At 44.1% G+C, this 11,520-nt stretch overlaps 1 long non-coding RNA gene and 1 pseudogene across 1 annotated transcript; both read right to left on the bottom strand.

Moving 5' to 3' along the window:
• Positions 1-286: 286 nt before the first annotated feature.
• LOC124904161 (uncharacterized) lies at positions 287-6,842 on the bottom strand. The gene is made up of 3 exons (XR_007066032.1): positions 6,767-6,842; positions 3,342-3,433; positions 287-973 (listed from the first exon to the last, which is right to left on the bottom strand). It is a non-coding gene; the product is annotated as an uncharacterized LOC124904161 (long non-coding RNA).
• On the bottom strand, positions 9,220-11,520 carry HNRNPFP1 (heterogeneous nuclear ribonucleoprotein F pseudogene 1; annotated as a pseudogene).

Here is an 11,520-nt window from a genome sequence, read left to right as displayed (position 1 = left end):
TGGGTCTTTAAGGACACGTTTAGAGGCTTCTAGGTTCACCTTCAATACCAGTTCCAGTTGCCAGTTCACTATTCCTTGGACCTTAAGGTGAACGCCACTGAAGAGTAGGCATATTTACATTGGAAGACTGTATGACTCTCCACTCTTTGCCCTGAAGTTTAAAGGGACTGTGCCAAGCACTGTGGTAAATGGGAGATTGGGGGGTTGTCAGCTTTCTGGCCTTGTTATTGCTAAGGAAGGACGTCAAGAGAAAATAGAGAAGGGAGGCAAGGACAGAACCTTGGGGCACCAGAACTATATTAGTTTAGGTTGTAAATGTGCAAACTGAATCTTTTATGATCTGACATTCCTATCCCTAATGCCTCTGTTGAGACTCCTTCCTGTCTTTGGATTTCCTTCAGCCATTTCTAGAGGTCTACCTCAGATGGAAGTAATCTTTCTCAACATGATATCTGCTCCTCTTTGGTGGTACTGATCACTTTGTACTTCTTGCTATAGTTATTTGCACACTCATTTACTTATATGTTTGAAGGTCTGTTTTCTGAGTTAGAAAGCTCAGCTTCCTACCGCTATGGTCCAGATCCTCAGGGAGCATCCTGAAGATGATGGTGATGGTAACAGTGAGGAGGCAGATGATGGAGATGATGATGATAATGGCAGCACATCAGAGCAGAGCAAGTATATCTTTGCAGGCAGAGTGTCCTTGGTTTGAACTTAACTCTGCCATTTACTAATTGTATGGCACTTAGCAAGTTCCTCAATTTAGCTGAGTAAAGTCATTTTGAGGATTAAATGAATTAACCTACATTAATATGTGCTCTATTCTACAGCACACAATAATACGTGATCTAGAAATATTCAATTCTGTTTTCTTCTCTGCCTCCCCCTTACCCAGTCCATGATGGTTCTGAGTGTATAAAGAGCTTCCATCTTCAATGTAGTAGTCAGGATTCTTTCCCTGATGGTAACCCAGCTGAAACAAATGAAATGACAGAACCTTTTGTTCATGTAATTGCAAGAGCAAGGCTAGGCTTGATCCAGCATGCAAATGACATGATCAGAGCCCAGTTATCCTCTCCTCATTTATTGACTGCTTTCTCTGTGATTTTTCAGTTCTCAGGTGGGCTCTACTCCTCTCTAGCTGCTCCAGCCAAAGTCCTAGAATTTTATCTAACTGGTTTCCATTGGCCTGGCTTAGATCACCTGCCCATCCCTGAACCAATTGCTGTGGCCTGGAGGAAATGATGGCCTGAGTGGCCGAGCTGGGGGTCTTATATTTTCTCTGAGCTGAGGGTGAGAACAGCCCCATCCAATCCACATGTACTAAGAGAATTGAAGAGGTAGCTCCCCAAGGAAAATCAGGGAACTGTGACCAGAAGAAGGTGACCCAGTGACAGGCAAAACCAACAGATGCCAATCATCTACATGACTGCAGTGAAGCTAGATGCGCCTAGGGAAAACTCCTCTTCTGCCTTGTGCAGTGTCTAAACACTTTGAGGTGACATGTAGATACCTATAGACCTCAGTGGTTTTGGACTTCTTTATTACTTTCCCAGTGCTATGTATTTGTTTGTTTTTGGAGGAGGAGGGAGGATCTAGTTAGCTAAGTGAAGTGTTGGGAATATGATGCTTCTCTCAGTGTCCTAAGGAAAAAGATGGCACACTCAAAGTGTTGAGTATAAGGAATATTTACATGGATATGGGCAGGGTTAGTCGACAAGGGGTAATGAAGCTCTGTGGATCTTGCTAGAGGCAGTGAGGAGCAGGAAGGGGATTACCAGAGTCCAGTGAGAGCTGGACTTGTAGAAGAGGGGCTCCTCAACTGATCTGTGGCCTTGGAGGGGTACAACTACTGCTTGACCTATGGAAAGGCAGGGAGGGAGCAGGAAAATAAATAGCCCAGCTTCCCTCTACTCCCATCCTCCATTCTCATGCTGGTGCCTCCTATTGGCTTAACCAGCCAGAAGCTGTAGGGCAAGGGAGGCCAAGTGATACAGTCCACAGAGCCACGCAGAGAAGGGCAGAGAACCGAGAACAGCCGGCAAGGTCCTACTGTTCTGCAAGGTTTGTTGTCTGGGAGGAAAGTATAGTGTGTTAGACACTTGGCTCATGATCAGTGGAGTTGGGGGAAGGGGGTGTTTAGTCAGCGTCTAGCTAAATTCTCATTTATTCTCTTTGCTTTTGGAAATGTAATAATCTCTCCATCAAAGCTCCATCTATCTGCCAAAATAATGCATGTCCTTTTGTACAAATGAAAGAATTACTGCTATTATGCAAACACTGAAAGGGTAACACATTTGCATGCAGAGGGGAAAAAAGAAAAATCCTATTTGGAATAAAATTAAGTATACCAATGTGGCAAAAAGACACATGAGTATCCATTTAACACTTGGACAGGAGTAGGACTAACTTTCATTGCCAACCCCAATGAAATAATGGAAGCCAAAAAGAAAATACTCTGAAAATAGAGGCCTGGATAGAATAAATGGGAATTGGGAATTTCTGGCCATTTTAACACTCCCCCCTCAACAGAAACAAAAGATTAAAATAAAGGTTTTTACAAATACTAACCATGAATATTAATGTTCTATAGCTGATGCCTGAACCAAGTTCCTCATTAAAAAGGCCTTTCGGCAGAGAAATGTTAGCATGCAGGGTTTGGAACTGGTGTGAGGCTGTGTGGAGAATATGCTTTGCATCTGAAACCAGAAGGAAGGCAGATGCATCAGATTCAGAACTTGTCAGATGTTGATGATATTGTTTGATCATTGGGAAATAAGAGCTTAGAAAAGAAGGCAAAAGAATCACTTATTCTGGAGAAGAGAAAGTTGAAGTGTCACCCGAGGGGATGTTCAGTTCATGAAATACTTCCCTGTACTCCAGGTCCCTCATGTTATATTGATACTGTTGTTTTGCTTGTCTGTGTCTCAACCAGAACGAGAGTGGACGGGGGCAGGGACTGTGTCTACCAAGATCTTATTCTCCTCTGTAGCTCCTGTGCTTAGCACAGAGTAGACGCCTAAGGAATGTTGAATTGAGAATGCACCATAGAATTTTAGAGCCCAAAGTAGCCTCGGAAATCACCAATTTCAATGGTTCTAAACGAATAGATGTGCTTGGGTTGGGGGTTTGGTCAATGGTGGTTGGGGGGAGAATAAGGAAAATGAGATGTATCTGGGAGGGATTTTTTTGAAATGCACCACTCCCAAACCCACCTGCCACTCTAGCCCCGACAACTTATGTGGTACGTCAGGACCCAGTGAGAGTGAACATTGTATTTTGGAAAGATTAACTGGTAACCCCCTCCCCAACCATGCTGAGAAACACTGCCCAATACTTACCCACCCAACTATCTGGCAATCCTTCCTGCTTCCAGGGTTCAGCTCAGCGCCTGGTGCAAAACAGGTGCCATCAGGAGTTGCTGAGTGAATGACTGTCACAAGAGAGACTGTTTAGAAGAAGTAATAATAATTTACCCAATGCCACACACAGCCAGGTCATAAAGGATTATCATATATGCAAAACTCTTAGAACAATGGCATTTAGTAAATGCTATCCAAGTGTGAGCTGTCATTAGAATTATTATTGCAGAGGAAATGCTGACCAACGTATTTCAACACCTGCCTCTCCATCCCTAAAATCAGGGAAAAGCTGAATGCATTCATTTGTGAATGAGGACATAGGTCAGGACTTTCTGTTGATAGGTGTCCTTAAATAGTGGGACCAGCCCTTAGAGGAAGCTTGGGATTCCCTTGCTCCATCCTCTGCTGAAGTATTAAAATGTGATGGACACTCATCTTTCCAGGCTGATTAAGATTAGATGCAGCTTTCTTAGAGGCAAAAAGTAGACTAGAGCTAAAAGCTTCCTAAGACCCCAGGAATCACATCACAACTCTATAATCTTCATTTGGAAATTACATTACTACTATTGAATACACTGAAATGGATGAAAGAAACGACAGCCCTATCTCACTATCTCTTCGTCTGTAAAACTGATTGTAATTACAGTTTATTTATTTGATGATAGATCTAGTTTTGGTAGTATAGTGTATCATTAAAAGCATGGATTCTGTGAGTGTACTAAATACCACTGAATTGTATGATTTAAGATGGCTAAAATGGTGAATTTATGTTATGTGGATTTTCACACACACACACACACACACACACAAAGTGGTTGGATTCTAGAGCCAGATAATTTGAGTTTGAGTTCTGTCACCTACTGACTGAGTGACTTTGGGCAAGTTTCCCAACCTCTCTGTGCTTCTCTTTCTTCATCTGTAAATGGGATAATAATAGCACTTACTTTCTGAGGCTGCTGTAAGGATTGAATGAGCTCATATATGCAATACTCCTAGAGCTGTGGCATGTAGTAAATGCAATCCAAGCGTGAGCTCTTGTTAGTATTATCATTGCAGATGACATTCCCACAGAGAGATGAGGCTGTTGTTAACTTTTGTGGCTTGTCTACAATGATATGCATTATTTAATAGATGAAGTACAGATTGACAACTGAAGTTATCTTAGTTGTATGAGATTGAGTCAGACTGTGCCTGTTTGTGAGAGAAAATAGTTTGTTTTCCTAGGCATGGTGTTAATATAAATGATTTCTTTTGCATTCCTGAATCACAGAATCTCAAACACTAGAAAAGGGCTCACAGTTTATCTCAGCCTGAACAGAGAAGAAACTGACTTGCCCAGGGTTACACAACTAGCTGTGGCCTGGTCTTCTAATTGTTAGAGCAGTGCTCTGTCTGCTCATCACCATAGCTACAATAACTCAGTACATGGAAATGCATTTTGTTTTCACATCTGTAATCTTTAAAGTGAAATACACACACACACACACACACACACAAGAATCAAGGCGCAGACAGTATTTTAATTTTGCAAGGAGTCATAGGCATTTAACTGGGATGTACCATGTTTTCTGTTTTGAAGGGAGGTGGTTAAGACTACATTAATGTAACAGGGTTCCTAGTTCAAAGCAACAGAAACAAGCTCAGGCTAACTTGAACAGTCAAGGAATTTATTGGAAGGATATTGGGTAGTTTGAGAATTGAAATGAGGCTGGTGAACTATGCTCAGAAAATAACCACAACAAGAGGTCAGGGAGCGGCTGCCAAAGCCAAGGTCACCCCTCAGAATTGGTCTGGTAACGATGCTGCCAGGCACAGCTGCCCCTGAACATGCAATGCCAAAGCCCCAGATCTTGCACAACACAGCAGCCAGTGGACTCTCATCCTTGGTGGCGCAGCTGTTCTGTGTACTCTCACCTGCTCTCATCTGTGTCTTTGCATCACTCGTCATGATTCCAAGTCCCAGAAGGAATATCTCGTTAGCTGGGCTGGGTTAGATGTCTGAGACCAAGTGTGGTTGGCAGGTGGGGGTGTGGGACAGGGCACAGAGAGAAGATTCCTACCTATAACGAAGGTTTACAAAGGAGGACCCCTCCCATTTGGATTCTCCCCACATAGGAAGGTATTAGAATGCTGAGTAATTGAAAAAAAAATAAATGAACAAAAACAACAAAAAATCCATGTCAATCAGGAAAGTCTAGAAATGATGCCTAGCCCAGCAGCTTGCCTTTTGCCCTCTCTGGTGTCAGCATCCTCTACTCTGCCTGCTGTCCCCCTACTCCCTTCCATCCCCATCACCCCCCATGCAGGAGGAAACAGATGTTCCAAGCAGGACTACAAGGTCAAATGATTCTTTTACAGCTCTGTTTACTTCAGTCACTGCCAGATTCACCCCTATAATCCTCCACCATCTTCTTACTCAATTAGAATAAAATCCAACCACTTTATTGTTTTTTTATTGTGATAAATTAGTATAACATAAAATTCACCATTTTGGTCATTTTAGAGTAAACAATTCAGTGGTTCTTACAAGGTTGTGCGACCATCACCACTGTTTTATTCCAGAACATTCTTACTATCCCCAGATGAAAAACCCTACCTATTAAGCAGTCACCCTCTATTCCTGCCACCCCTTAGACCCTGGAAACTGTGAATCTGCATCCTGTCTCTATGGATTTACCTGTTCTGGAAATGTCATAGGAATGAAGTGATATAATATATAGCTGCCTTCCTAGAATTCCTACTCCTCCCCCTGCTACGGGCCCTCCACGGCCTCATCTCAACGCAGGATGGGGAACCAGCACCAGTTACTCAACCCTTCCCTGACAATGCCTCAGAAGGGAGAGGGAACCACAGAAGAGGGAGGAATCTGAAAAACCACTGGAAAGACACTAAGAATCACCTGGGAGCTGTCTACCATAGAGGGAGGACACCGAGGAAGAGCAGCGCTTGGAATCAAGGTATGGGGTGGTTTTCTGAGGCACAGCGTTGCCCAGCGGGGACTCTGCAGCAAATCAGCATATTTAAGCCTAGATTATAAGACCAGAGGCCCTCCCCTCTCTCCACCCTCCACCCCAACCGACACTCCTCACAACTTAACCAGAAAAAGCATAAGTTAGGGCTACGCTAACAGCCAAGATGGCTGTCTTAATTAGGGCAATGTTAAAATAATGTAACTAGGAGACGGTAAAGTAGAATAGCTTAAATTAGATAGGGATGCATTTCTCTCATACATAACAATTCCAAAATGAGTGTTTTAGACTGGTGGGCAGCTGCACTCCACATTGTCATCCAAGGACAAAGATTGACTGCAGCGCTGTCATCTTCAACACAGGGCTTCTAAGGTGTATGTAGTGAGGGTTCAGTAGGCCAACTGGGATATGACACCATGCAAGGCTTGAGCTCACCTGTAGGATTAGCATATACTTTAAACCAGCAGTCAATATCTGGTCCCGTCTCCTTCCTAGCACGACCTGTGGGCTGGGAAACACGGGGAAGCATTAGGAGTGACCCTTGTAACTATCACAGCTAATTCTCCACTTAATAGAACTTTTGCTTTCCATCTCCATGATCTTGAGCCTGAATATCCCTAAGGGAGGAATGTTACCACCAAGGAATTGGAAGCTGAGCCTGTCTTTGGCCATTTTGGAACTCACACCATTGAACCAATAGGAAGAGGAGGGATCACTATATTGAGTACCAAGAAGAAAGTGGGTTGCTGCCATGCAATAGGGCTGGGAAGACTATATTTTAAACTCAGGGGATTTCTGGGGTCACTTCCAGGACTTCCATGTCCAATAATGAAGGTCAGTGGGAAACTGACCACCTACTGCAGAGAGGACTAGTAAGGGCTCAGCTATTTGGGGATGAAGGTTTGGATCTCAGACCTTCTCAAGATAAGGTGATAAGTGTTTGGTAGAGGATAAAGTGATCACGGAATAAAAGGAAGCGGTGATTATTTGCTCCGGCCTCATGAAAGACTACAGAAGGGGAGACCATAGAAGCCATACTTATTTTATGCCAATTATCTTGCCCTCCCCTCCCCTTCTCCATACTATTTTACATGAAGAGTGCTGATGGTAGCCAACCTCAAAATTTAGGGTCCAGGTGAGAGTACATTTGAAATGATGTCACCAGTAATAACACAGTGGCTGATGACTCATGTGTCTCCTTGTGTTTGGGATGGGATTCTCATCATTTAAATGAAGGGAAAAAAAATGGGACCTGGGTGGAAAATGGGGTGTTCTGGTTTGATTATTCTTTGTTTATGCTGCCATATCGGTTATCTACATCTGCCTTAGTTCTTCCCCCAGGAGGCTGATCCCTATAGACTGTCATCCGGACTCCCTTGCTAGTAGGTTATCTGTCTGAGTTAGTGGGTGATATGCATTTGCAGGGTATTAGAGAATGGGAGGCAAGAGAGGTCAAGGCAGTTTCTCCCATGGTCCTAGCCTTGAAGCCTCCCCTCTGGTAGAAGCCAGATCTTTGTCTAACTGCAGCTCCTGAGGGAGCCCCTCCTCCATGGTTCCCACTCTCCTGTTCCCTCTGCTTGTCTCTTCATTATTGGGGGTGGTAATGGTTCTCTGCTGTTGTTGGTATCTGGATGCGTCACCAGCTCTGCCCACACTTCTCTAAGTCCTCCCTTGATTGAGATCTCATTGAGTTAAATGGGGTGAGCTCTGTTTCCTGCTGGACCTGACTGATGTAGTGTCCTTTTCCTCCTGAGCTCCTCAAGAATGGGACTATTGTCCCAGTCATCTCTATATGCAAAGGTTATCTGGTCATAAAATGTGAAATGATTCAATCACAACAGTGCTGAAGGTCTTTTCCCATGAATCTTGCAAGGCCAGAGGAAAGAACAAAGTTAACTAGCAGCATGCTAGTTAATTTTTTAATTTCTAACTATTTCTAGAAAAACTATTTCCAACCAGGATTCTTTCCATATCAACTCTTCCCTGAGGTCCCCGTAACTTCAGGTATGGCCCCAGTGTTCCAACACAATATCTGTCAGGGACCTAGATAATGCTTTTTCAAATTAAGAAGTTGATTAAATTGCATTTCCAAATGCATTATTTTCAAAAGGCTATGTATCTAGGAAGCCAGGTGTGTGAAAACTTTCACACATAATTGCAAGTGCAGTGTATAAAACAATTTGCTCACACCTTCAGGCTTCTAAGGTGCTTAATGCCTTTTATTAAGTGACTCTGCTCCACTAAATAACCATCCCTGGACTTCTTCCTTTAGGCCCTGTTGCTACAGATAAACTAATCTGTGCTTTGGAGTTGCCTGACTAATATATCACCACTTTCAACTGATTGAAGGTGGTCAGGGCTGGGAATGCAGACATGAGGGCATGCAGCCAAGCGAAATATATAATCCAGGCGTCAGATCTGGGGAGGGAGAAAAGGCAGAGGAGAGTGATCTGGGAAGACTCATGTCAAAGAGTTTGGGTAGAAGAGGTCAGAACCTGAACAAGGAGTCCAAGGCCAACAAGGGGCATCAGCAAGAATAGTGTCTGTGACTGAATCCAAAGTCTTCTAAAGTAGGGCCACTTTATAAGGTTCCTTTCCAGATTACTCTCCCTCACCCCCAACTATTCTCAGAGTAGAGGAATAAGTGGCTGAAGTATAGGGGGCTAGCAGGGGAGGTAGAGATCAGGGTAACTCCTAGTACAGGACAAAGATGAAGGATTTCTGTTTGCATTTCTAGTCTTAGCTTTCTTTTGTTGGGTTAAACTGGGCAGTCCTACTTTCCTTAGTGCTTAATGGTATAAGACAATACATTTAAATTTTCATGAGTGTATTTACCCTTCAGAAAGACTCATAGGATGTGAGAACTGGCAGAATTATTTTTTAAAAATATTTTTATTAGACTTTTATTTAGCCTCATTATTAGAATATAAGGGAGATCATAGATTTAATGTATGAAACTATTTTTAAATTCACACTTAAATACATTACAATTAAAATGAATTATCTTGAACCACCCAGTCATTTCGCTATCTTTTGCTGAGTAGATAATCTGTGCCAGTCATTGTGAAAAAGTCTTCATTTTAAGAAAAAAATTTAGTTAACAAAAAATTTAACAAGTTTCACTTGGCAGAATACACCCAAAAGGAAATCACAGTACAAAGAAAGTTTTAAGTTAAGGCCTCACCAATTCCTCCAGTATTAGTATTGTGTCTCAATTTTCAAAACTCACTTTTAAAAAGCTTCAACTTAACCTAAAGGATCTTAAATGAAAATATAAATTAGAATGAACAAACATGAGAAACATTTCTTTGAATCAGGGAGCTGATGCCTTTGAGTTTACCAAAAAAGCACATCTCCCCAGTGTGTTCACTGTGATGTGGTGTAATAGGTCCACATGTAACATACTTAAACTTGGATAACTTCTCTGTGAAGTATACTAACAAAATGTTAATTGAGAAAAGCTGAAAATAGTTTTAGTTTACTCAATATCACATGGTAGAAGAAAATTTTGCATGAGAAAACACTGAAGAGGCATATATATATATATATATATATATATTTTTTTTTTTTTTTTTTGAGACAGGGTCTTACTCTGTTGCCCAGGCTGGTGTGCAGTGGTGCATCTTGGCTCACTGCAACCTCCGCCTCCTGGGTTCAAGTGATTCTTGTGCCTCAGCCTCCCGAGTAGCTGGGATAACAGGCGCCTGCCACCTTACCCGGCTAATTTTTGTATTTTTAGTAGAGAAGGGGTTTCACCATGCTGGCCAGGCTGGTTGTGAACTCCTGGCCTCAAGTGATCCACCCACCTAGGCCTCCCGAAGTGCTGGGATTACAGGCTGAGCCACTGCGCCTGGCCTAAAGAGGTAATTTTTAAATCCAGATTTCACAAACTCTTTGTGCAAAATGGGTCCCACAGCTTCCTTCATTATAACTGCTCTTCACTGCTTGTTAGCGGCCTGTGAAAATTTGATTGAATTAATTCAAACGTTGCTAACAAAACGAGTCCTATTCACCCATGCTGTTCTGCCCGCTGTGGCCAGACCCATCACAGCCGCTCACTGACTGGCTCTTCAGGTCACTGTAGGTGGTCAAGCCCATGCCTCGCATCCCGACTGCTGTACGCCCCATTGCTAGCCCCTGTTGTCAAATTCAGGAATAGTTCTATGTATCTGTGCCACATGCTGACCCTGTCTCTGGAGGTAGCTGCCACTGCTTCTTCCCGAGTAGCAAACTCAACATCTGCTTTGCCGGTCACTCTTCCATCTGGGCCCATCTCAATGTGGACTCTCACCAGGTTGGAAGGAGAGAAGAGGTTGTAAATGTCGCTCTTGGTCGCTTTGCATGGCAGCCCCTCATGCAGAGGCAGTGGCCGGTGGTGCTATGCCCTGTGAACTCACTGTCGCCATATTTGTGGTCATACATTCCGGAGAGACAGTAGCTGAGGTTCCCCCACACCCCCCACCAAGCAGCTCCGTGGTGCAGAGGCCGCTATGCTCCTCGTGGCCCCGCATCCTGCGCCTGCCTGCTTCACGATGCCAGGGTAGCTCCCGGAAGCCCGGGCCAGTCACAGGGGTCCGGGGCAGCACGGATATGAGTCTCAGGGGGACCTGAGTCCGACCTAACTTCCTCCTGGCTGCTCTTGAACACCTCCATGTCTCTGTGCCCTGTCCTCTCCTTGGGCTTTCCGAGAGCCTCTCAGCTAACTCCTGCGAGGCCAACTCTTGGGATTTCCAACACTGAGAAGAACTGAATGATTTCTTCTTTGTGCATCCAGATGAGAGTCCTCAAAGTTCGAGCGCGAAGCCGTAGTTGGCGCTGCCCGCACTGTTGGGACCGCCGTGCTTCCTTCAACACCCAACTCACCTCGGTTCTGTGGGACTTGAACACCGCAATGCGCCAGTGTCCCATGCTTTCCCGGTCTTTTTCCAGGGCCATTTTTACGTCCTCTTCTGATCCAAGTTCAGCAAAAGCCTCACCACTCTGCCTACCCCTCTCCGGTGTAGATGGAACTCGCCTGAGCCCAATGGGGCATGGTGCAGTTGGAGAGGACGTCCTGCGCATCCTCGACAGATCAGGGCCAGGGCGGGCCATGGAGCCTGACCACAAAGCCCTCCCCTCCCTCAGGGCCCAGCAGCATGGACTCTTGATGGGGTGGGTGTCAGGTGAGTGGGGTGTGGCTTTTTTGTGGC

The sequence above is a fragment of the Homo sapiens genome, chromosome 1 (assembly GCF_000001405.40).
Source record: "Homo sapiens chromosome 1, GRCh38.p14 Primary Assembly".
Lineage (NCBI taxonomy): Eukaryota > Metazoa > Chordata > Mammalia > Primates > Hominidae > Homo > Homo sapiens.
The sequence above is the reverse complement of the archived record's forward strand: the minus strand, read 5'-3'. Positions and strand labels throughout refer to the sequence as shown.